The sequence below is a fragment of the Homo sapiens genome, chromosome 1, assembly GCF_000001405.40.
Source record: "Homo sapiens chromosome 1, GRCh38.p14 Primary Assembly".
Lineage (NCBI taxonomy): Eukaryota > Metazoa > Chordata > Mammalia > Primates > Hominidae > Homo > Homo sapiens.
Genome location: NC_000001.11, coordinates 11,303,735 through 11,330,263, shown reverse-complemented (window position 1 = coordinate 11,330,263; position 26,529 = coordinate 11,303,735). Strand labels below are relative to the sequence as shown.

The 26,529-nt window shown below is 52.6% G+C and overlaps 1 long non-coding RNA gene across 1 annotated transcript, besides 1 other annotated feature; it reads left to right on the top strand.

The window, feature by feature from the left end:
- Positions 1-13,961: 13,961 nt before the first annotated feature.
- LOC105376737 (uncharacterized) lies at positions 13,962-18,388 on the top strand. The gene is made up of 3 exons (XR_946957.4): positions 13,962-14,125; positions 15,389-15,659; positions 17,861-18,388. It is a non-coding gene; the product is annotated as an uncharacterized LOC105376737 (long non-coding RNA).
- Positions 24,099-24,924: an enhancer, noted in NCBI's record as "H3K27ac hESC enhancer chr1:11365397-11366222 (GRCh37/hg19 assembly coordinates)". NCBI's record gives its function as "activates a minimal SCP1, AML or CMV promoter by ChIP-STARR-seq in primed H9 embryonic stem cells {active_cell/tissue: H9 hESC(primed)}" and the evidence as "EXISTENCE:reporter gene assay evidence [ECO:0000049][PMID:30033119]".

Sequence of the window (26,529 nt, the reverse complement as noted above, 5' to 3'; positions counted from 1 at the left end):
GGTTGCGGGGAAGTTCAGAGTTGGCGTAAGAGGGGGCAGCTGAATGTCAGTCTGACATGGTCCTTCTCTGAGGAATGCCCCTGCCTATGGCCCAGGGAGCAGACAGCAGAGATGGGTTTATGCTCCCTTAAGAAGTCCCATCCCAGCCGGGCATGGTGGCTCACGCCTGTAATCCCAGCACTTTGGGAGGCCGAGGTGGGTGGATCACAATGTCAGAAGATCAAGACCATCCTGGCTAACACGGTAAAACCCCGTCTCTACTAAAAATACAAAAATTAGCCTGGCATGGCGGCGGGCACCTGTAGTCCCAGCTGCTGGGGAGGCTGAGGCAAGAGAATGGTGTGAACCCAGGAGGCAGAGTTTGCAGTGAGCCGAGATGGCATCACTGCACTCCAGCCTGGGCAACAGAGCGAGATTCCTTCTCAAAAAAAAAAAAAAAAAGAAGTCCTGTCCCACACCCCAGGGACACCCAGTCCCCAGCCCCAGTGCCCTCTTCCACCTCTCCCATTATTTCCCCTGCGCCCCTCCCGTCTTTCTCCTGGGCCAGGAGAGAGGCACATGGGCCCCTTGAAAGCCATTCCAAAGCCACAAACCCTTTCATTCCCAGATGTCCAGGGGGAACCTCCTGGGTTTTTTTCCAGGCATCTCCATTTCCTAGGGTCTCAATTGCCTTTTTTAAAAATTTATATTTATATTTTTTAGAGCAGCTCTAGGTTTTCTAGTTCTAGGAAAAAGAAAAGAGTTTCCATACGCTCCCTTTCCCCCGAACACAGCTTCCTCAGTTATTGTCTCACATTAGCGTGGTCCTTGGCCTTTTCCAGTTCCCAGTTGTTGGCGCCAGTGTCTGGCTCTGGTTCAGTCTCCCACTTCCTGCTACCAAATCTGGTGCTTGCCACATCACTGATGAACCAGGTAATCAACCTGTGCACCAATGCCCCAGGTAAGTAATGAATCAGGTAACTGACGCACCAGTTAACCTATACACCAGTTAACCAATGCACCAGGTAACCTATGAGTCAAGTAACTGGTGCACCAGGTAATCAACGCCCCAGGTAACCAATGCACAAGGTAACCAATGCACAAGGTAGCCAATGCACCAGGTAACTGATGCGCCAGATAAGCAATGCACCAGGTAACCAGCCAATGAACCAGGTAGCTGATGCACCAGGTAACCAGTGAATCAGGTAACTGATGCGTATCCTGTCCCTCCTGGCACTTGTCCCTGCTTCCCAGTGTCCCCTGCTTCTCCCATTCACAGTGCCTGGTCTCCCAGCTCCTACCCACCTGGAAGGATTGACAGATGAGAGTGAAGGAGTCAGGGGCACTGGGTTGAGACATTCCAAACATTATTGATTTCCAACGTCCCCAGCCATCTCCTCCTCTGAGATCCCAGCCAGGAAAGGGACAGTGCCGGGCCCGGGCAGGACAGAACACGGAGGAAACATTGGCCTGCCTCTGGTCCCTCTGACTTCTCATAAGAAGTTAATAAAATTGCAGGCAAGGATGACCCAGAGGACATGATTTACTCACGGTGGGGAAAAGCTTTCAATAAGCTCCCTCCATAAAAGGCCATTAAGGGAGCGGAATTACCACAGGCTAAGGGGCAAGTGTTATGGATTCCAGAGTGGTTTAAGCAGAGGAATTAAAGAGGCATTCAGAGCCGGGAGACATTATTAATAACCACACCAGGCACTTTTAAAGGCCTTCATCGCAGCCAGCTGTGACGGCACTAACTCCTTGGCTCTTGGGCCTCTAGTGGAGATGGGACGGGCAAGCTGAGGATCAGCTCATTCCACTTTTAGGCTGGATCAGTGGATGGGAGGGCTGAGGTCTTAGAGCCGAGGGGTTCCCAGGAGATTCCCGGATCACACACTTTCTGGTGCTGAAAGATCAAACTCCAGGAAGGAAGGGCCTGCCTCCAATCTCACTAGCAGGGCTGAGGAGGCTTGTGCCGTCAAGGAGCATGTGGGGCCGGGCGCGGTGGTTCATGCCTGTAATCCCAGCACTTTGGGAGGCCAAGGCGGGCGGATCACTTGAGTCCGGGAGATCGAGACCAGCCTGGGTAACATGGCAAAACCCCATCTCTACAAAAAAATACAAAAATTCGCCGGGCGTGGTGGTGTATACCTGTAGTCCCAGCTACTTGAGAGGCTAAGGCAGGAGGATCAACTGAGCCCGGGAAGTCGAAGCTGCGAAGATGCAGTGAGCTGTGATTGTGCCACTGCACTCCAGCCTGGGAGACACAGCGAGACCCTGTCTCAAAAAAAAAAAAAAAAAAAAAAAAAAAACCACTTCAGAGCAGAGAGACTCCACCTTTCCCATCCAGAGGGTCCAGGAGAGGGAGAGCTCCCTGAGGAGGAGGAGGCTGCTCTTCCTGGCCTCCTGCTCTCCAGGACCCTAGTGAAGCCTGCACGCAGGCCTGAAGAAGCTGAGTCTCCCCTATTATATGGGCCGCCCTATCCTACCCGGATCACAGGCTCAGTCACGGAGCACCTTTCTCTCCTGGATGAAAAGTCCAAATCCACTTGCTTCCACCCTCTCCTCCCAACCCATTTTCAAAGCTCAGTTCAAGCAATACCCTTTTCACAAAGCCCCCTGAGCTGCACCCTCTCCACTCCCTGTGCTCCATAATGCGGGCAGACAAGGACCCTGCTTCCACAAGGTTCCAGCCCAGCTCTTCCCACTCAGTGCCCGCTTCAGGTCTTCCGAGAGGCCTGTGCTCCTGGAGACAGGTGGGCACAGAGAGGCCCTGGAAGGACCTGGACAAACTCTGTAGGGGGCTGAATTCTGAGCAGGGTCACCTGGCACCTCCATCCTGGCTCCACCCCAGCTCTGTCCTCTGCAAGTTCTCCTTCCCAGAATGTATCTCTCCCTCTGAAATTAGCATTCCTTTTAAATGTTTTCACACTCTCAAATCATTCCTTAAATGTATGTATTAACTGCCAAAATGACTTGCCTTAGCTGCTTCACCCGGCCTCACATTAATCTCACACAACCCTATTACACTTAACATGCCTCGTCCTCTCCGCTCAGCCTCATAAACTCAGGGCGACTTCAGAACCGTCCTTGGTGCCCATGGCTTGCAGCCGCAGAGGGCCGGATGCCACCTGGAGGGCCAGGGGGAGGAACCACTGTCCCACTGGGCCTAACGGCCACAGGTCGGGGGGCTTAGGGCCAGAGACCCCAGGGAAAGCTGCCTGCCTCAGCTGCCCCTTTCTGAGCTACTCGCTGCACCAGCAGCATCACCTTGACCTTAGGAGGGTGACTTTCACCTTTCCTAAGGGAGAAAGCTGAGTATGAGAACTGAAGTCCCTGGCCCAAGCAAAAGCCAGGATGTGAACCCCAGGCACTCTGGGTCCAAAGCCCAAGCCCTTGGCTGCCACACTGCACTCCCCAAGGAGAAGCTTGCAGAAAGGAGGTGATGAGGCCGAGAGCGGTGGCTCACGCCTGTAATCCCAGCACTTTGGGAGGCCCAGGTGGGCAGATCACTTGAGATCAAGAGTTCAAGACCAGCCTGGCCAACATGGTGAAACCCCGTCTCTACTAAAAATACAAAAATTAGCTGGGCGTTCTGTAAGTTCTCCTTCCCAGAATGTATCTCTCCCTCTGAAATTAGCATTCCTTCTAATTTGGTGGTGGCACACGCCTGTAGTCCCAGCTACTTGGGAGGCTGAGGCAGAAGAATCACTTGAACCTGGGAGGTAGAGTTTGCAGTGAGCTGAGATCACCCCCATGCATTCCAGCCTGGGCGACAGAGCGAGACTCTGTCTAAAAAAAAAAAAAAAAGTAGGTGATGGGCAGGAGATGGTCTTGGCCACCTACTGACTGTGTGACCTCAGGCAAGGGCAATTAAGAGATAAAAGCAGGCCTTTATTATTTATAATTCTTCACTATAATCATACATTGAATCCTCATCACAGCATTAAGTGGATGCTATAACCACCATTCTATAGATAAAAAAGTTGATGCACAGAGAGGTTAAGTAACCTGCCCAAGGATGCAGAGCTAAAACGTTTTGAGCCAGGACTCAAAGCCTCCACATTATAGGGCCCCTTGGTAATGACCAGAGAAGCCCATGATCAACTCCTTTCTTCCATGTGGCCCCCGCCCCAGTCGTTAACAGCTTGTAGCTTCTCGTCCCAAGTCTAGTATAACTTTCAGATCCAACTGCATCTTTAGACCCAGAGAACCCTCTCATTTGGCCCAAGTGAAGATGTCCAAGAGAAGGATCACCAACCCCAGCTTGGCCCTGCACTGCACCCAGCCCCAGCCCCGGGGGCAGTGGTCACCTGGCACCTGAGCAAGTATAGCCTCATCTTGGTAATATCTCACTAGAATTCTTCGGGCTTTTCCACTGGGATTGGGACTCCCTGTTGACAGGTTGGGACACCCTTTCTGATTCAGCCTATGTCCAAGAGGCAGGGCAGGGCAGTGTCCAGAGGCCCTGGTATTCTCACCAGTTTTTTTTTTTTTTTTTTTTTTTTGAAAGAGAGTCTCGCTCTGCAGCCCAAGCTGGAGTGCAGTGACGCAATCTTGGCTCAGTGCAACTTCAGCCTCCCAGGTTCAAGGGATTCTCCTGCCTCAGCCTCCCAAGTAGTTGGGACTACAGGTGCACACCACCACACCACACCCGGCTAATTTTTTTATTTTTTTATAGAGACAGGGTTCTGCCATGTTGGCCAGGCTGGTCTCGAACTCCTGGCCACAAGTGATCCGCCCACCTCGGTCTTCCAAAGTGCTTGGATTACAGACATGAGCCACCATGCCCAGCCCCATCACCTCCTTTCCGCAAGCTCATCCTCCTTTCTCATCCTTACCAGGAAAATGCCAATAGGACAGGTGACCCAGAAACACCGCCCCACCCCCAGGCCCCTGCATGACTGGGCACATATTCTGAAGACCACTGTCAGGCTAGACTGTAAGAGCCTAACCTAGAGCAGAGATCTCTGTCCTCCAGAACCTGTACAGTGCTCCACCCTCTGCCCATAATGAGGGTCCTCAGGCCGGGACATCTGATTCCCAAGTTTGCTCCGGAGCCACCTGTGTATCTTAGCCTTCGAGGGCAGGAGGAGGCAGAGTTCCAGGGTGGGCGGGAGGCGGACGGAGTGGGGTTGCCAGGTCAGTGACGGGGTCCTCGCTCCCTCCCTGGGATACAGCAGTCCTGGGGCCTCCCTGATGTGATTTACCCGACAATGACAACCTTTAATGTCCGCCCTGTTATAATCTCCTTTATCTTAATACAATCTTTTCCTGTTGAACTCTCCAGAGTCCCAACTGTGATTTTCAACGGAGGGATTTTTTTTATTATTATTACGACTTGATACTGTGATTACCGTCAAACTCTCAGTCTTTGTGGAAGGGAAATTAATAAGTTTTTCTTAAGCACTCTGCACAGGCCCTGCATACTGATGAAGCCGGGCCAGCTCCCCTACGGCAGGAGTCAATTACCCATCTGGCCTCCTGCCTGGCCTTCAGAGACCCAACAGTTCTCCTGTGTGGGGGCGGCGGTCATTAGGTGCCGGGTCCCAGCGCCTCCTCCGGGAAGTGCCGGGCCACCCTGAGGGGTCAAAGATCTACCCTGCTCCATTCTCAGCTGTGTCTTGGGGCAGGAACTGCCTGTGTTGAATCCCAGAACTAGAAGAGACCTTAGTTTTCAGCTCATCAAACACCTCCAGGCATTTGTACAAATTGATCGCTCTGCCTGCAACACTTTTCACTTTGCCTGGCTAATTCCTCAGATCCTTCAGGTCCCAGGTTAGCTGCCACCCCCCAGGAAGCCTTCCTGTCCCCCCAGGTAGAGGTTAAGTACATCCTTTTCTTGCACCTGGAGTCTCCCAGGCTTATACCTGTTGTAGAATTTATTTAGGTTTTTTGTTTTGTTTGTTTGTTTTTGAGACAGGGTCTCACTCTGTCACCCAGGCTGTAGTATAGTGATGTGATCACAGCTCACTGCAACCTTGAACTCCTGGGCTCAAGGGATCCTCCTGTTTTTCCCTTCTCACATTACAGGCGGAGGAACTGAGGCCGAGCAAGATGCGACCAGCCTCAGTCACAGACATCTAATGGCAAGGCGGGGGCTGTGGTTCCTAGGGTGGCATTCAGGTTCTCTAACTTGCATCCCTTCCGAGGTGTGTTTTGGTTTTCAGTGTGGCTGCAATCCCTCTCTCTGCATTGTCCTTGTCCTGTCCTAATTGGGCTGAAGGACTGGCAGGTGACATCTCTTACCCCCTCAGGGAGAGTAAGTGAAGACACAGCCTACCCCACCTAACCCTGCCCTGACCCAGCCCCAGCTGTGCCAGGCACAGGTGAGAGAAGGGCTCCCAGGGGCTTCCTGCCAGCTGGCTGCCTACTGGGGCAAGCGTGGCAGTGAATAAGCAAGCAAAACAAACACACCTTCCTAGGCAATGAGGCAGTCCCAGTGCCAGGAGGGACCAGAGGGCCTGGAGATGGCCCAGGCTGGGCCTGGCAGGTGGAACAAAGTTCTTAGATTGCCCCTGAGAAGAGACCCCTCTCCCTCAGGCTCCCCACCCAATTCCACTGATGGAGATCAGAGTGGGTGCAAAGGGAGAGTGAGGTTAGACCTCAGGAGAAGACTGCCAGGCATGAGGAAGTTCTGCCTTCCCTGGGGACACCAGGAAAATGACAGCAGTCAAAGGAAGCTCAAGTTGGAGGCTTGAAGCTATCCCATAGAAGTCAAGACCCGGCTCCTCTGGCCGCTGGGGCAGGAGTGTGCTGGTCTTGGCAGGGCTCGATGGCTCACACCTGTCCCAGAACTTTGGGAGGCCAAGGCAGGCAGATCACCTGAGGTCAGGAGTTCGAGATCAGCCTGACCAACATGGCCAAACCCTATCTCTACTAAAAATACAAAAATTAGCCAGGCGTGGTGGCGCTCACCTATAGTCCCAGCTATTTGGGAGGCTGAGATGGGAGAATTGCTCGAACCCGGGAGGCGGAGGTTGCAGTGAGCCAAGAAGGTGCCACTGCACTCCAGCCTGGGTGACAGAGCGAGACTCCGTCTCACATACACAGAAGCATACTGGTCTTGATATCCCTGCTCCAGCTAACATAGCAATGGATTCAGATAATCAGGCCTCAACTCTGTGCGGTGTGGTCTTACATTTCTCTGGTTGTAGGAGGAAGACACTGGGCCACCTGTCCCCTATAGACATTACCTGGGAGGGGAGCTAGCAAGGGAGACACATGAGATTTGGAGGAGAAAAGCACCAGATCCAAACTTATCCTGTTATAAGGATGGAGGCACACAGAGTGGGGATTTGACCCTTTCATTCATTCCTCCATTCAACAAACAGAGCACCTGGAAAGGTCCCTGTCCCACTCCAGAGCCGGAAGGTGGCCGTGAAACAGGAAGCCACATAAAATGACTTCAGCTAGGCCGGGTGCGGTGGTTCACACCTGTAATCCCAGCACTTTGGGAGGGCGAGACGGGCGGATCACGAGGTCAGGAGGTTGAGACCATCCTGGCTAACATGGTGAAACCCCGTCTTTACTAAAAATACAAAAATTAGCCGGGCGTGGTGGTTGGCGCCTGTAGTCTCAGCTACTCGGAAGGCTGAGGCAGGAGAATGGCGTGAACCCAGGAGGCGGAGTTTGCAGTGAGCCGAGGTCGCACCACTGCACTCCAGCCTGGGTGACAGATCGAGACTACATCTCAAAAACAAAAACAAAAACAAAAACAAAACAAAACAAAAATGACTTCAGCTAGAGGTGTGTGCCACATGGGGACGAAGTGGGGCTGCGGGGAGGGATCAGGGGAGCTAGAGATCAGGGGCTCTCTCTGCCCCGTGCAGAAGTGACTTGGGGGATGAGGGGGTCCACCTTCCCTGACCACTGCGGCTGCACAGTTCTCTAGCAGTGGGGATGGATAAGAGAGCTCCTTCCTGCACCACCGGGGCAGAGACAGTAGTCAGGCTCCAGACAGGCATGGGAATGGGAGGGCCAGGTGTCTGGGCTCAAGGGCGGCTGGGCCACAGTGGGGAGCCCGCAGGAGCTTGGGGGACACCTCTGCGGGGAGAGGGGAGGAAGCAGACTCTGGAGCTGGGCTGTGACAACAGAGTGATGACACATTACTCTTTCTAAGGAATTTAAAAACATTAATCACTGTAATTAGCAGAGCTGCCCAGCAGGCCTTCAGCCTGGCTATTAAAACATTGGCACAGGCTCCTGCCATGGCCTGGGTGATCTCCCCACAGCTGGCTGGTGCAGGAGGGCTTGGGGCTAGCTGCCAGGCTCAGCAGAAGGATGGAGGATGGGGCCTGGGTGCTCTGGGCAGGGCAGGGGCCACCGTCCCTTCCACATGTCTCCCTCCAGCTTCAATACGTCTTTGGGTCACCTGAATGGCCACATTCCCTAGCATGTGAGCACCACGAAGCAGGGAGCTTGCCTGTCTTGTTTGGTGACACAGTCAGTCCAGCATCCAGAAGAGTGCACAGTCACAGGAGTGCTGGAAAAGTGAAGAGAGAGAGAGAGAGAGAGAGGCTAATGCTCTCTCACCTCCAGGCATTTGTACAAACTGATCACTCTGCCTGGAATGCTTCACGTTGCCTGGCTAACTCCTCAGGTCTCAGGTTAGATGCCATCCCCCCAGAAAGCCTTCCAGTCCCCCCAGGTAGAGGTTAACTACATCCTCTTTTGCACCTGGAGTCTCCCAGGCTTATACCTGTTGTAGAATTTACTGAGGTGTGTGTTTTGTTTTGTTTTTTGGTTTTGGGTTTTTTTGTTTTTTTGTTTTTTTAAGATGGAGTCTCACTCCGTCAGCCAGGCTAGAGTGCAGTGACATGATCTCAGCTCACTGCAACCTCTTCCTCCCAGGTTCAAGGGATTCTCCTGCCTCAGCCTCCCAAGTAGCTGGGATTACAGGAGCGTACCACCACACCAGGCTAATTTTTGTATTTTTTAGTAGAGACAGGGTTTCACCATGTTGGCCAGGCTGGTCTTAAACTCCTGACCTCAAATGATCCACCCGCCTCAGCCTGCCAAAGTGCTGGGATTACAGGTGTGAACCACCACACCCGGCCTTGTTTTGTTTTTTGAGGCAGGGTCTCACTTTGTCACCCAGGCTGGAGTGCAGTGGCACCATCATGGCTCACCGCAAACTTAAACTCCTGGGCTCAAGCGATCCTCCTGCCTCAGCCTCCTGACTAACCAGGAGGATTAACCAGTCCAGGTGGACTAACCAGGTGGACTAACCAGTCCACCACCATGCCTGGCTAATTTTTTAATTTTTGTAGAGATGGGGTCTTGCTATGTTGCTCAGGTTGGTCTTGAACTCCTGGCCTCAAGTAATCCTCTTGCTTTGGCCTCCCAAAGTGCTGGGGTTACAGGTGTGTACCACCACACCTGGCCATGTAGAATTTAGTACACAATATTACAGCTGGTTTATGCATCTCTACCTCCACAAGACTGAACGCTACATGAGGACAGGGGCTATGGGCTCACCATGGTAGTCCCAAGGCTGAGCCCAGTGCTTGGCATATAGAAGGTGCTCAATAAAGATTTGTTGAATTAGTGAGTCAGTAAATCAATAAATAAGGAGCAGGAAGCCAGCTGCCGGCCTGCTGTGAGTGGCACCTGCTCTCCTCTGACTTCCAGTGGGCTGTGAGCTGCAGGCATGGGCAGAGGAGGGAAGGTGGATCCGGAGCCCATGCCCCTGGATGCCAAAGGTCCTCTTCCAGGCACCTTGAATCTCCTGGCACCTGTGCTTTAATAATGAAGATGCTGATCTCACAAACCAGAGCCTCCTGGGTCTTTGGGGAGTGGAGGGGAAGATCAACCTGTCACAAGAGCTCTGCCTCTGAACGCCCCTTGGTAGGGCATCCCCAGGACGGGTCCCTCTGCCTGGGCCCCAGCCCCTCGGCATCCCAGAAGGCATATATGGCCGCACTGGGAGCTCCCTCTAGTGGCAGACAGGCCCCGAGGGTCTGCTCAAGGTTGACCTTGTGCCCGCGGTGGGCAGGCAGGTGTCCGGGATGATGAAGTGGCCTCAGGGAGTGGGTGGGATTCACTCTTTGACGGTAAGAATGCATGCAAGTGCTCCGGAAACTGGAACAGGCCGCCGGAGTGGGAGTGGAGTGCTTCCACAGGGAGTGGAAGCAGGGGACCTGGTACAGGTGAGGCTGTAGGAGGGCTTGCTGGGTCTCTAGGGGCGAGTGGGCCAGGGATCAGGAGGTGGAAACGGTCCCTGTGAGGCCCCTTGCTGGGCGTGTGAGAGGTGGCATGGGGCAGGCACTCTGCTTGGGGCATGCCTCTGTGGCTCAGGGCACCGTGGACTCCATGCAGAGCCTTTGGGACTAGCACAGGTGAGTCAGCATCTTTCTGTTTCTTCAACACTTTGAGCCTCAGTTTCTTCACCAATAAAATGGGATAATGACACCTACCTGGCAGGTGTGGGGCCTAAATGAGATGAAGTGGGTGAAGCTCCTGGCATATAACAAATGCTTTTCAATGCTTTGGGTACCCAACCAGCCCTCCCCACCAACCCATCAACAATGGGACCAGAGCCCCCACTCAGTCCCTGCTCTCTGAGTTGGATTCCCCACCGATGCACCCCCATCCCCCTCATTTTTCCTCTTCCCAAAACTGAGAGTCACATCACAATCACATTGCTGGGTAAACAGCCCTGACCCCTGCCCCTTCTCTCCGAGGACTATGGGGAATTTTCACCTGTGATAAGCCAATGGCTGAGCCCTTCTGGGAAACCCTGTCTCCCCCAACCCCCCAGTTCTCAGAGTATCAGGGCCCAGGGTCCTCCTAATGCCGGTGGGAAAGTCATTAGGGAGGAATAAAGAAATAAGGAAAGGAAGGACTATGATTGTCCCAGAACCCCAAAGTTGGGTGGATGTCAGCTATTTCTGCGGCCCAGCCCTCCTATTTCCTGAGAAACCACCCCCATTTGTGTAGTCCTGGTGAGGCTGTCAAGCAAGTGCCGTGTCTCTCCAAAAGGGAGGGCATCTGGCTCAGCGGGATCAACCACAGCGTGCTGTCGTTCCTTTGGTAACAGTGATTGGGCTAAGTGTGTACATGTGACCGAAGCAAAGCCAATCCCATCCTTCCGTAGGATGTAAGTTGCAGGAGGGCGGGCTCTCGTTCCTTTGGTAACAGTGATTGGTCTAAATGTGCACATGTGACCCAAGCAAAGTCAATCCCATCCTTCAGTAGAACGTAAGTTGCAGGAGGGCAGGGAGTTTTGCCAGCAGTACTCAGTAGGTAGGGGCTCCATAAATACGTGCTGATTGAGCAGGTGAGTCTGATGGAGTTGCCGAGTGAGGGATGAGGGTGCTGGTGTGGGGCTGGTCTTGGTGGCCAGGAGAAGGTGTCAGGGTTACCACTAGCTTACACGGCATCTTATGTGTATTAGCAATAGGTGACTCCCCCAGGCAGATGAATTAGGAAAAATGTCTCTCTGGGGCAATGCTGCCTTATACCAGGACACAGAGCTTTGTAAGCAGAGCATTGAATGTATTTCAGCTCCCACCTGGCCCTTTGCTGGGGCCTTTGAGCAGTGCCCAGACTACCAACATACATGGACCCCACCTTCCCTTCCATGAAGACAGAACTGTGGGTGTATGAGGCTGAGAGAGAGAGACAGACAGATGGAGTCCTCAGAGTATCATTCAGTCCCTATATCCAGCCGGGCGCAGTGGCTCACGCCTGTAATCCCAGCACTTTGGGAGGCCGAGGTGGGTGGATCACGAGGTCAGAAGATAGAGACCATCCTGGCTAACACGGTGAAACCCCGTCTCTACTAAAAATCCAAAAACTTAGCCGGGCGTGGTGGTGGGCGCCTGTAGTCCCAGGTACTCGGGAGGCTGAGGCAGGAGAATGGCGTGAACCCGGGAGGCGGAGCCTGCAGTGAGCAGAGATTGCACCACTGCACTCCAGCCTGGAGCAAAACTCTGTCTCAAAAAAAAAAAAAAAATCCCTATATCCACGCCTGGGCTTCCTGTCATATGAGCCAATAAATTCCCTTTTCTGCTTCAGCTACTAACGTTGGGTTTCTATAGCTTCCCACTGATGACGTGTCCTGATCAAGGCACACAACCAAGTCTCGACCTTACAGTTCCTGAGACTCTGAGGTCCCTCCAAACCCATCCCTTTCATGGGCATGACGAACCAACAGTAACGTTATGGTTTACAGGAACTGGGCTCGAATCCAAAGAACAGGACCTTATTTCTAGTCCTGCCACATAGTCCCTGGAGCCTGCTGGCCTGGAATGGAATCCCAGATCCACCATCTACGGCCCCTATAACCTGGGGCATTTACTTAATCCCAGTGGGCCTGTTTCCTCACCTGCAAAATGAGGGTAATAGCAGTATTGACTTCATTGGTTGTTGAGGGAATTAAATGAGTTAATATGTATAATATTGAGTAGTACCTGGCACGTGGCAAGTTAATGTAGTAAGTAAATACCCACTTGGAGTGTTATTACTAACTGTGGACTCTTGAAGAAATCACTTTCCTTATCTGTAAAATGGGAATAAGAATTCTGAACTCAGAAGGTTGTTATGAAAGCTAAATGGGGGCCAGGCGTGGTGGCTGATGCCTGTAATCCCAACACTTTGGGAGGCCGAGGCAGTTGGATCACTTGAGGTCAGGAGTTCGAGACCAGCCTGGCCAACATGGTGAAACCCCATCTCTACTAAAAATATAAAAATTAGCTGGGCGTGGTGGAGGGTGCCTGTAATCCCAGCTACTCAGAAGGCTGAGGCAGGAGAATCACTTAAACCCGGGAGGCAGAGGTTGCGGCGAGCCAAGATTGTGCCACAGCACTCCAGCCTGGGCAACAGAGCAAGACTCCATCTCGAATAAATAAATAAATAAATAAAGCTTAATGGGGGCCATTGGGTGCAGTGGCTCACATCTGTAGTTCCAGCACTTTGGGAATCCAAGGCAGAAGGATGACTTGAGGCCAGGAGTTTGAGACTTGGCTTGGGCAACATAGTGAGACTCCATCTCTACAAAAAGCTTGAAAATTCGCCAGGCATGGGGACTTGTGCCTGTAGTCCCAGCTACTCAGGAGAGAGGCTGAGGCGGGAGGATTGCTTGAGTCCAGGAGTTTGAGGCTGCAGTGAGCCATGATCATGCCACTGCACTCCAGCCTGGATGACACAGGGAGGCCCAATATCAAAAAAAAAAAAAAAAAAAAAGTAAAGGAAGTTAAATGGGGTGAGTGGGCAGAGCTATCGGCACGGAGCCTCCCATACAGAATGTGCTCAGTGTTCATTGAATCGGAATCTTTGGCTGCTTTGTTGAAACCTTTGAGCCGAGTTCCCCTGCCGGAGCCAAGCAGAGACATGCCTGTACTTCAGCTGGAAGCCCAGCAATGAGGAAATAAATCCTCATGCACATTATTCCTGAGTAAAAGTTCTCCTGGGACATGGCTTGCTCAGAGCCCTCTCATTCCACAGCCAGCATGCTGCACAGACTTCAGCAGCCCACCTCTGGCTCACTCGCTCACTTGCTGGCAGGCTGGCTCATCCTCCAGGGGCAAGAGAAGGAGAGAGGAAAGGAAATGGAAAAGTCTCTGATGTGTCAGGGAGCCTGCCGGCCGCTGGTGAGCATCACGGAGTCCTAAAGCCCCACCTGCCAAATCAGCAGCCCAGTTCTCTGCCCGTGCTTGTAATTAGTCTGTCTGAGCATTTAGGGCAGCCCTGGGGAACAGAAAGGGTGGGCAGGAGGAGCTGGCGTAGGAGCACCTGAGGCTGGGGCTGCAGAGCAAAGCAGAGGGGAGCCACCTGAGAGGACCCCTGTCCAGGGGGAAGGGAGCAGCAGGGACCCATGCCCTGACATCCTGTCTGGAGACATGGCCTTCGGAGAGCCTGGCGGCACTAGCTGAACTGCCCACTGGCCTCTGACACCACAGCACTAGTCAGGACCTGGTTCCAGCCAGCCTGGACCATTTACTAGCTGTGGGACTGAAACTCGGGGAGGCAGAGGCAAGGGATCAATTTCCTCATCTGTAAAATGGGAATAAGCAACATCTGCCAAGGCCATCGATGTGGACATCGTCCTGAAATGGACAGCCTTCCCTGCCTCTGAGATGGCTCCGTGAAATAGAAGCTGTGGACGTCGTCCTGAAATGAACAGCCTTCCCTGCCCTTCGAGCAGGTGCGTCTTCTTCCCCAGGAGCTCTAGGCTTAGTGCTTCCCGGCTGACTCCTCTCCAGCTTCATTTCTGAGGAATGGGGAGCACTGAAGTTGATTCTCTATTTCAGAGATGGGAAGAAACAGACTCAGAGGGGAAGGCAGGGTAGGAAGGTCAAGTCAATAAGAGGCTGCTCCTGGGCTGATCTCAGAGACACATCACTTAACCTCTCAGACCTCAGCTTTCTTATCTGTAAAATGAGAGGGTGATGATAATAATAACGTAAAGATAAATCCTTAATAAAGCATGTGGCAGATAAGAAAGATTCAAAATAACAGCTGATCCATACTGACAATGGGCTATGCGGCAGGCACCAAGAGTGCTGTTATTATTATTATTATTGTTCTCATTAGCAAACAGAAGCTCCCCTCTTGTTTTTTCTCATGTCTGCTGAGATATCTTTTTTTTTTTTTTTTTTTTTTTTTGAGACAGAGTCTTGCTCTGTCGCCCAGGCTGGAGTGCAGTGGCGCGATCTCCACTCACTGCAACCTCCACCTCCTGGGTTCAAGTGATTCTCCTGCCTCAGCCTCCTAAGTAGCTGGGATTACAGGCACACATCACCACACCTGGCTAATTTTTGTACTTTTAGTAGAGATGGGGTTTCACCATGTTGGCCAGGCTGGTCTCGAACTCCTGACCTCAAGTGATCCGCCCGCCTCAGCCTCCCAAAGTGCTGGGATTACAGGCATGAGCCTCCGTGCCTGGCCTGGTGAGAGATCTTAAAACTGCTCTGCCTGTGCTGCTGCTGCTGCTGCTGTCTCCATTTCTTTCTCTCGAAGAAATGCCTTCTAGAAAGCTGCTCCCTCTGTAGATAACAAGATGGGCAGATAAGGCCATAAAATCAGCAGCCGGGCCTGGAGGAACCCAAGAACAGGGAGAGCAGCGTAGTGCTCTCTTCCTCCTAGTCCTGGGCAGGCCCTTCTCTGAGCCGCTGACTGCATTTTCCATCCAAGCACGTGAGGCTCAGAATCTGGCATCAGCTCAGAATGGGAGCAAAGAAGCAGAGCTTCCCAAGTGAGCTGCTGGGAAATCCGATAAAAAGGCTCCCTCCAACTCCCTAATTTGCTGAGATGATGATTTATGGAGACATCCGTCTTCCAGCCTAAATCTACTTCCTAGGACTTGGGCCATCATCGATGTAAACCTAATGAAAGGTTTATGAGTTACTGAGCTCCAGGTACTATTGATAAACCCTCTCACACGGTTGCTACGGCTCGTCCTCCGCAGAGCTGCCGTGGGTCTTTGAAGCAGACAGTGAGCCTCAAAAGTGGATCGTTTTAATACCTCCCTTCTGAAGAGGAAAGTCTGTGCTGCGCCTTCTTCCTCCCTCTGTGTGCTCGTCCTGCCCCTGCCAGCAGCCCCATCCACGTTCAGGGAGGCAGGGAGGAAGGGAGTCCAGGCTGGCCAAAGGCCTTGGGGCCAGCAGACACTTCCAGAAAAGACCATATGGAAGAGTTGTGAAGATGGACAGTGGTGACAGCTACACAACAATGTGAAGGTACTTAATGCCACTGCATGGTACACTGAAACATGGTTACATTGGGCCAGGTGTGGTGCCTCATGTCTGTAATCCCAGCACTTTGGGAGGCCGAGGCGGGCAGATCACTTGAGGTCAGGAGTTCGAGACCAGCCTGGCCAACATGGTGAAACCCCATCTCTGCTAAAAATACAAAAATTAGCTGGGCATGGTGGTACACACCTGTAATCCCAGCTACTCAGGAGGCTGAGGCAGGAGAATCGCTTGAACCTGGGAGGCGGAGGTTGCAGTGAGCCAAGATCGCGCCACTGCACTCAAGCCTGGGTGACAGAGCAAGACCCTATCTCAAAAAAAAGAAAAAAGAAAAAGATTAAAATGGAACATTTTGTATTATGTATAAATTATCACAATTTTTAATTTAAAAACAATGACCACCGCCCCTTAGCCTTTGGCTGTGCTCAACGCAGCCTGGGAAGACCTCATTTTCTGAACATCCTCAGGGGACAAAGTTGCACTGAGGCCTCATGACCTGTGGCCTGGAAAGCCCTCCAGGTATCTAACCTGTGTCTTTCTTGCTGTACCCTGAACTCCAATCCCTGCCTGATGAATGCGGCTCTCTTGCGGAAAGGAAATGTTGCCTAATGTCACAAATGCTATAAATATAAGGTTAACAGCATGGGCTCTGGAGGCAGAGTACTAGGGTTCAGTTCCTAGCTCTGCCACTTGAGAGCTGTGTGTCTTCAGCAAGCCACTTACCCTCCCTGTGCCTCAGTTTCCCCATCTATAAAATGGGAGGCACCTATCCTGCAGAGAGGCTGTAAGGAGTTAGTACTTTTGCCGTGCTCAGTACCAACTTCACACATAGCAAGCACTCCATAAAAGTGGACCCCTACTGTTTCCAGCCTCCCCATGCTCCAGTCACTGCTGAGAGCATCTTCTTTGGAGATGGAAGATGTGGCTATAAGCGGGGCAACAAGGAGAGGGTGGAGGTGGGTGAAGGGTGTGGGATGGTGCACAGTTTGGAGGGTCTACCTTCCTAGACTGATGTTGCCCATCATGATATCTGAAAAGGGGTCCTGGGGACACAGATATCACAACCTTTAGGGGCTGGCCATGTTGGCATCAGACACAGCCACTGCAGGAACCCCTGGCAGCCTGGCTGTCAGCAGTGATTGTCTAGAGTGCAGGGGAAGCTGGGAACAATAATGGGTGACCTTAAGGATGGTATGAGACTTCTGAGACCAGTTCATAAAAAAGCCATGGTAGGGGGCTGGGCACAGTGGCCTCATGCCTGTAATCCCAGCACTTTGGGAGGTTGAGGTAGGAGGATCACTTGAGGTCAGTTCGAGACCAGCCTGGGTAACATAGTGAGACCCCCATCTCTACCAAAGAAAAAACTAAAAATGAGCTAGGTGTGGTGGTGCCCGCCTATAGTCCCAGCTACTTGGGAGGCTGAGGTGGAAGGAGTGCTTGAGCCCAAGAGTTCGAGGCTGCAGTGGGCTATGATCCCACCACTGCACTCCAGCCTGGGTGACAGAGTGAGACCCTATCTCAAAAAAAAAAAAAAAAACAACCATGGCGGCTTTGGCCTGGTTCTTTCTCTTCTGTATCACCCACTCTGGGGAGTGCCAACACGTGGGGAGGCCTGTGCTGAAGGAGCCTAGCACCATGTGAGTTCTATCTTGGAGGTGGGTCCTCCAGCCCCAGCAAGACCCCTGACGACGGTGACCTCAGGAGAGACCCTGAACTCAGCTGCCCACAGGTTCCTGACCCACAGAAACTGGAATATAGAGATGTTTATTGTTGTCTTAAGCTGCTAAGTTTGGGGTAGCTCACTAATCCAGGTGGGAAGGGAGACAGATGGGAGGGCCAGGGTCCCTTCACCCTGCAGCATGGCACTCATGGAACACATCCACGGCTCTGCCCTCCCATCTGCCCTTTTATTCCAGTGAAATCCACTTCTGTGTTCTGCCACCTCCCAACACCCCGACACCCCCGCCCCCGCCCTTCCTGTCTTTTTGTCCTGACTATGCTGCTTTCTCAGTGGCTCCTGGCTGGGGTGAGGGGCTCAGCCCTTCTCACCTCCAGAGCTGGCAGCTGTCGGTCATCTAATAGAGAGATCGCAGAGCAGCTTCTGAGAGCGGCTGTGCAGAGCATGGGAAGCCCTGTAGATCTTAATCCTTTCCCTCTTTAATCTTTCTTCCTCGTTCTTTGGTCCACAGGTTTTCACACGCACTGCAGAGTTTCCAGAGATAAAGCCCCACAACCAGAGATGGCAAAGCACCTCCTTTCTCTGCCTCCAGAGAGGAGAATTCAGCCGAGCAGGAAACTACGGAGTCTCTGATTGGCTTCTGAGAGCTGGAGCAGTTTGTGAGTGTCAGGGACCCAGGAACCTCAGCCCCAGGCTGTCATTCCCTTCGGCTTCTGGCTCAGTCCTGCTGCATCTTATAAGGCCCCTGGGTGAACTAGGGGCTGGGAGGTGGTGCGTTACCCCTAGAGCAGCTGGGCCCACAGGCTCACCAGGCTGAGGGAGTGTGGCCTCACGATCAAGAGCAGGGGATTTTGAGGTCAGACAGGACTGGGAGCAAATCTCAGCCCTGCAGCTTCCTGCTGTGGGACTGTAGATAAATGACTGGGTTTCTCTGGGCCTGCAAAGCTCTCAATAAACAGGAGCAGCCAGCAGCAGGACTGGAGTCCACAGGTGATCTGTCTCTGACCTCAGGTGTCCACAACCATCCTCTCAGAAGACAGGCAAGCAAGGCAGCTCTCCTGCCCCTCAGCACTGGCCACGCTGGGACACAGTGGGACACCAGGACTTTAAGCCATCCTTTAGGCCAAAGAATCCCCACATAACAAATTCATTGTGTGCAATAAAGAACTTGGCTGCACCCCTATCGGGGCGTTTGAGATCCAAATTGCTGCCTTGGCACTTTGGAGACACAGAAAGGAGAAATGAGCTCAGGGTCTCTGGGAAAAGCCCTTTAAACCTGCTTGAGAAATCAGATTTGTCTGGCTGCGGCTCATCTGCCCTCCAGGTCTGGAATAAGGGGAAGGGACTCTGGAGGGCTGTCTGACAGGCATGGAAAGCAGTGGGCAAGGGAGGGCAAGGTTTAGGGAAAGAGGGTGACAGGGTGGCAGGATGGTTCATGCCTGTAATCCTAGCACTTAGGGAGGCTGAGGTGGGAGGATCAATTGAGGCCGGGAGTTCAAGACCAGCCTGAGCAACATAACAAGACCCTGTCTCTACTAAAAACATTAAAAATTAGCAGGATGTGGTGGCACATGCCTGTGGTCCCAGCTACTCAGGAGGCTGAGGTGGGAGGATTGCTTGTGCCCAGGAGGTCAAGGCTGCAGTGAGCCGTGACTAAGCCACTGCACTCCAGCCTGGGCAACAGAGCAAGACTCTGCCTCAAAACAAGACAACATAAAAAAACAGAGGATGACGGGGACACACCGACACAAAGGGCTTCCCAGGTATGCCTGGTCCCCTGAGTCAGGAAAGCTCTGGGGCGTTTGGAGAGAAGAGCACCCTTGATGGTGTTAGAATGAACAGCCCTGGAACTCACAGACACAGGCCAAGAAGCAGCCTGGCCCTCACTCAGGCCAAGCTCTGCCCTCCTCCCGCCATGCAGGCTTCACAAGTTTCCTCCCTTTCTCCCCAAGGCGGCCATTCTGCTTGCACACTCATTCGTTCATTCATTCAACACCCTTACCTGGAGCCTCCTCTGGGTGCCAATGAACAGAGAAGGGCAGAGTTGTAATTAATGAAATTCAATTTCTAAATGCCAGAGCTCAGTGGACCAATCATGATCGCTCACCCTCCTCAGCTATCCATTGAGGAATAGAGTTTCACGGGGGTGCCAAAGAAGGTGACAAAAACTGCCCGAGAGAGACTGGAAAAGCCTTCACAGATGAGGGCGCATTTCAGCTGGGTCTTGAAGGCTGAGTAGGAGTTCATCTTAGGAATGAAGAAGAGAAGGAGGAGGAGCAGAAAGGGCATTCCTGGCAAAGAAAGCAGCAAGGGGCAGGGAGGTGGGAAGGGGCAGGGAGGTGGGAAGGGGCAGGGAGGTGGGAGGGGCAGGGAGGTGGGAAGGGCAGGGTGGACTTGGGAGGTGGCAAAACACAGAAGTGGATTTCACTGGAATAAAAATCAGAGTGGACGTGAAGGGCAGAGCAATGGAGGCATTCCATGAATGCCACACTACAGGGTGAACGAACCCTGGGTCTGCCCACCCATCTCCCTCCCCACCTGGATTAGTGAGCTACCCTCAAACTTAGCAGCTTAAGACAACAATAAACATCTCCATCCCTATTCCAGTTTCTGTGGGTCAGGAGTCCAGGAGCAGCTGAGCTCAGGGTGTCTCCTGAGGTCGCTGTCATCAGGGGTCTTACTAGGGCTGGAGGACCCGCCTCCAAGATGGCACTCACATGGTGCTGGCTGTTAGCAGGAGGCCTGGGGTCCTCCCTACATGGGCCTCCCCACGTGGTGGCACTCCCCAGAGTGGGTGATACAAGAGAGAACCAGGCCAAAGCGATATCTTATTGGATACTCAGACCAGCCCTATTCAATATAAGAGAAGACCATGAAGGATGTATCAGGAGCTGGGGATTATTAGTAGTAGTAGTAGTATTGTCAGGAGCTGGGCCATCTTGGAGGCTGGCTGTCATGCCACCTCCTGTGGGCAGCCCTAGGCAGGTGTATTAGTCCCTTCTCACGCTGCTATGAAGAAATACCCAAGACTGAGTAAATTATAAAGGAAAGGTGTTTAATTGACTCATAGTTCGGCAGGGCTGGGGAGACCTTAGAAAACGTACAATCATGGCGGAAGGAGAAGCAAACACATCTTTCTTCACATGGTGGCAAGGAGAAAAATGGGAGCCGAGCGAAGGGGGAAGCCCCTTATAAAACCATCAGATCTCATGAGAACTTACATCACAATCACGAGAATAGCATGGGGGAAACCGTTCCCATGATTCAATTACCTCCCACCAGGTCCCTCCCGTGGGGCTGATGGGAACTACAATTCAAGATGAGATTTGGGTGGGGACCCAGCCAAACCACATCAGCAGGAGGAGCCCTGGTCTACAGAGTTTCAGGGAAGCACGCACTCAGCCCCTGAAGCAGGCTCTTTCATCAGTTTCCCCGACACTTTTCAAGGCAGCCTTCCAAGTGGTGGGTGTGATATGGGGCAGAGCTGGTGCTGACCATCTCTTGGGGAAGGGGTGGGGGGTAAAGAGGACTATCTGTGTCTCAAGCCATGGACTCTGCCAACACATAAGATCAAGCCCTTCCTGGCTTGATCTTGTGTCCAACTGCCCACATGGCTTCTGGAGTGGTTATCCTCAAAGCAGGCCCAAAATGTGCCCTCTAGCAAAACCCTGGGATGCTGCCAGTTGGATGATCCACACTCAGCAAGGACCAGCCATGCCAACAGGGTCCATGCAGGGGCCTGGGACCTGTGACCTGCGACCTGCTCAGAAGTTGGTGTGGTCATTGGGGGACTCCAGCGAGTCTGTAAATGTCCAGCCCAGGTCCTGGACAGCTGAGACCTGCCTGCCCCTTGGGCGGTACAGGCCTCGTATAATTGAAATGCCAGGCAGCACCTGCAGACAATTTTATCACACTCTGTATAATGTGTAAATACCATTAAGTTAGACAGATTTTCTCATTAATTCTTGGTCCCAGTGACAGACCAGGAATTAACACAATTGATTTTCCAGTCCCTACTCATTATCAATCATCTCCCAGAACTTAGTCACATTTCATCTGTTCCACCTGGGCCCCAGCATCTATTTGGAGGTTTCAATATATATTAAACTAATAAAGAGCAATGGGCACTGGCGTGTCAGCCCTGGAAACTGGTGGGGATGAGTGAAGAAACAAATCCTGGGAAGAAAGTTGCTTCCAGATTGAAGGCTTAGTCCCGCTCCTAGGATGCTGGCGCTGGCCAGCAGGGGCTCAGCAAAGGGTGTGGGTAACTGTATCAGTTATGAATTGCTGTGCGACAAACCACCCCAAGACTTAGTGGCTTAGAACAATAGTGTCTATTTGCTCACGGTCCTCTGGGTGGCCAATTTGGGCTGGGATCCTGGGCTCACTCGGGTGGCTGCAGTTGGCTGGTGGCTGGGATACCTGGAGGGTCTAAAGCCAGCCTCACACACACATCTGGTGGTTGGTGCTGGTTATCGGCCGGATGGTCTAGGGACTTCAGCTGGGATGGCCCTTCTCTGCTTTGAGTGGCATCTCATCCTTCAGGAAGCTGGACCAGACTCCTGGCATCACTTTTCACCAGATCCTTCTGGTCAAAGTAAGCCAAAAGACTGATCCAGATTCAAGGGGTGGGGAAAGAGACCCCACCTTCTGATGAGAAGAATGAGCCAAAGGCACATGACAGAGGGGTGTGCCACAGGGATGGGGGACTTATTGCAAACAGGACACAACAGAGACCAATCTGGGATCAGGTTATGGGGCCCTCCTCCAATGGGCAGTTTCTTTTCAACCCTTCACACCAAGAGATGATGGTTCTTATTCTTCAAGACCTTGGGACCCATCCAAGCAGGAGATAAATGTGCATTCCTGAGACCTGAACAACAACCACATCCAATGCTGAGCTAAGGGACAGGAGGCAGAGGGAAGAGGGAATCTGTGCCAAATTCTCTCTTTTTTTTTTTTTTTTCTGAGACAGAGTCTCGCTCTGTCACCCAGCCCAGGCTGGAGTGCAGTGGCTCAAACTCGGCTCACTGCAACCTCCACCTCCTGTGTTCAAGCGATTCTCCTGCCTCAGCCTCCCAAGTAGCTGGGACTACAGGCACGTGCCACCACGCTCAGCTAACTTTTTGTATTTCTAGTAGAGGTGGGGTTTCACCATGTTGGCCAGGCTGGTCTCGAACTCCTGACCTCAAGTGATCTACCCACCTTGGCCTCCCAAAGTGCTGGGATTATAGGTGTGAGTCTCCCCATCTGGCCAGCGATCTGTGCCAAATTCTTAATCCTGTCTCAGTGTGACTTCCTGCCACCTGAATGCTTCTGGACCATCTCACCTGAAGTTGAGTACTACTGTTTAGAAATTAGCAAGTGCATGCTCTTGCGTGCTCTTACCAATGTTAAAATTAGCAGGAACATGCACAATTACAAAAACGAATCTTTCACAAACGTGTATATTGTGCGGAATGTTCTAGTTCCGAGTCCAAGTAGAAAACAACTGTGGATTATCCGCTGCTTTCTACTGTGTCATCCCATCCTATCAGAGATAATTTAATTTCAATATTATGGAAGTCACAAATCTACTTCATAAAGGGCTTTGGCGGTAAACTTTTCCGTGAGGTGTAACATACATTCAGAAGGGTGCACAATTAAGTGTGTAATTCAATGAATCTTCACAAAGTGAATACATCTGTTTAAACAGACCCCTACCCCCACCCCAACAAGGGCAACTTCTGTCCTGCCTTCTGACACCATAGATTAGTTCTGCAGGATTGTGTAAGCATGGGGAACAGGCCTTTAAAAGCCCATGGCCCAAGTCCCAGAGGTAGGCAGTCACTGCCTTCTGAGCTATTGAATCAGGAGTCCCTGTTCGGAGGCAAGGATATAGCCTTCCAACTTCTCATGGCTCCTCCCCAGCCTAAGTCTTTGTGTTGCATCCTCAGGGCAAAGCCCTTTGGTCCAGAGCACACCTCTATTGCCACACCAGATCCGAGCATAGGAGCAGGGGTGGGCAGGTGGGTGGAAGAGTTGGGGGAGGGGAAAAGGGCCACCAGAGGGAAGCAAGACTTTGTGACGCGAACGCAGAAGAGCTGGGATGCAGTGAGGACAGGGAGTCGGGGGAGCTTTTGGGGACACTCTTGGAGCAGGAAAATGTGTGTGGCCCACAGGGGCTGGGGGCATTGCTTGGAGGGGCGACCCCTCCCCCGCCCCTCTGTGCCAGCATTCAGTAAGCCTGTGCGCCCACCTAGAATTATCCCTAGATAATCATCATCATCATCTTTATGGAAACCTTTTAAGATTAATTCTAGCTCTCCCTCTCCCTCTCCCTCTCTTTCCACGGTCTCCCTCTCCCTCTCTTTCCACGGTCTCCCTCTGATGCCGAGCCGAAGCTGGACTGTACTGCTGCCATCTCGGCTCACTGCAACCTCCCTGCCTGATTCTCCTGCCTCAGCCTGCTGAGTGCCTGCGATTGCAGGCGCACGCCGCCACGCCTTTCGGTTTTTTTTGGTGGAGATGGGGTTTCGCTGTGTTGGCCGGGCTGGTCTCCAGCTCCAAACCGCGAGTGATCCGCCATCCTCGGCCTCCCGAGGTGCCAGGATTGCAGACGGAGTCTCGTTCACTCAGTGCTCAATGTTGCCCAGGCTGGAGTGCAGTGGCGTGATCTCAGCTAGCTACAACCTTCACCTCCCAGCCGCCTGCCTTGGCCTCCCAAAGTGCCGAGATTGCAGCCTCTGCCCGGCCGCCACCCCGTCCGGGAAGTGAGGAGCGTCTCTGCCTGGCCGCCCATCGTCTGGGATGTGAGGAGCCCCTCTGCCTGGCCGCCCAGTCTAAGTGAGGAGCACCTCTTCCTGGCCGCCATCCTGTCTAGGAAGTGAGGAGCGTCTCTGCCCTGCCGCCCATCGTCTGAGATGTGGGGAGCGCCTCTGCCCCGCCGCCCCGTCTGGGATGTGAGGAGCGCCTCTGCCCGGCCGCGACCCCGTCTGGGAGGTGAGGAGCGTCTCTGCCCGGCCACCCCATCTGAGAAGTGAGGAGCCCCTCCGCCCGGCAGCCGCCCTGTCTGAGAAGTGAGGAGCCCCTCCGCCCGGCAGCCACCCCGTCTGAGAAGTGAGGAGCCCCTCCGCCCGCCAGCCGCCCCGTCTGAGAAGTGAGGAGCCCCTCCGCCCGCCAGCCGCCCCATCTGGGAAGTGAGGAGCGTCTCCGCCCAGCAGCCGCCCCGTCCGGGAGGGAGGTGGGGGCCAGCCCCCGTCCGGGAGGTGGGGGGCGCCTCAGCCCGGCCACCCCTTCTGGGAAGTGAGGAGCCCCTCTACCCGGCCGACACCCCATCTGGGAGGTGTACCCAACAGCTCATTGAGAACGGGCCATGATGACGATGGCGGTTTTGTCGAATAGAGAAGGGGGAAATGTGGGGAAAAGATAGAGAAATCAGATTGTTGCTGTGTCTGTGTAGAAAGAAGTAGACATGGGAGACTCCATTTTGTTCTGTACTAAGAAAAATTCTTCTGCCTTGGGATGCTGTTGATCTATGACCTTACCCCCAACCCGGTGCTCTCTGAAACATGTGCTGTGTCTACTCAGGGTTAAATGGATTAAGGGCGGTGCAAAATGTGCTTTGTTAAACAGACGCTTGAAGGCAGCATGCTCGCTAAGAGTCATCACCACTCCCTAATCTCAAGTACCCAGGGACACAAACACTGCGGTAGGCCGCAGGGTCCTCTGCCTAGGAAAACCAGAGACCTTTGTTCACTTGTTTATCTGCTGACCTTCCCTCCACTATTGTCCTATGACCCTGCCAAATCCCCCTATGCGAGAAACACCCAAGAATGATCAATTAAAAAAAAAAAGGGGTATATCAAAATTATATCTTGAGTTGCACTCAACTGTACAGTACACTATGTATATTTAATACTTTTAACTTTAAAATAACATTTTTCTCCATAGTATCTGGTTCTCTTAAAATATGATCTTGTGGATCTTGCAGAATAAAGCATCGAACATAAAAAAAAAAGATTAATTCTAATGTGCTTTATTAGGTGGCTTTTTCAGAAGTTCTGCAACAGAAAGGTGAAATAGGTTCTGAATGTTAAGCAGTAAGAGGTTATGAAGAGCATCTCTGCCTGGTAGCACCTCCCAGGTAATTAGCTCCCTAATACTCATCAGGTGAGGGGGATGGCAGAAGAGGGTCCTTCCCACACCCACTCAGTGACATTTTCTCTTCTTTCATCAAAATTGTCCAGGTGGGCCGGGGCACTCTCTGCTTTTGAAAAGCCCCTGGTGCTGGGCACAGTGGCTCACCCCTGTAATCCCAGCACTTTGGGAGGCCGAGGCAGGCGGATCACAAGGTTAGGAGATCGAGACCATCCTGGCTAGCACAGTGAAACCCCGTCTCTACTAAAAATACAAAAAAATTAGCCAGGCGTGGTGGTGGGTGCCTGTAGTCCCAGCTACTCTGGAGGCTGAGGCAGGAGAATGGTGTGAACCCGGGAGGCAGAGTTTGAAATGAGCCGAGATTGCACCACTGTACTCCAGCCTGGGCCACAGAGCGAGACTCCATCTCAAAAAAAGAAAAAAAGAAAAAGCCCCTGGTTAGGGGCCTGAGCTCACCTGCAATCAGTCCCCCAGTTCCAGCTGTTGGGGGAGACAGGCACAGAGACACATGTGTGAGGCTGGCTTTAGACCCTCCTGCCATCCCAGCCACCAGCCAACTGCAGCCACACGAATAAGTCCAGGAGAGCCCAGCCCAAATTGGCCACCCACGGGACCATGAGCAAACAGAAATTTGTTCTAAGCCACTAAGTCTTGGGGTGGTTTGCCATACAGCAATTCATGACTGATACAGTTACCAATGCCCTTTGTTGAGTCCCCACTAGCCATTGCCGGCATCCTGGATGGCAGGACTGAGCCCTCAAATGCTCTGTCCACTCTTACCATCTAGAAGCCGCAGAGCAGGGCGCAGGGTGTGGTAAGGCAGCAGGAACATGGGAGATGGATGGGGTGCTAGGGCCTCCGCCTCCACCCCATTTCTGTCCCTCATATCCCAATGAAATGTGGAGGGAGGTACCTATGGGGACAGAGGTGGCCCAATCTCTGAGCTTTCCCATTTTGAGGGTCAATAGAACATAAAAATGCATCCCACCTGGACGAAGTGGCTCATGCCCATAATCCCAGCACTTTGGGAGGCCAACGCAG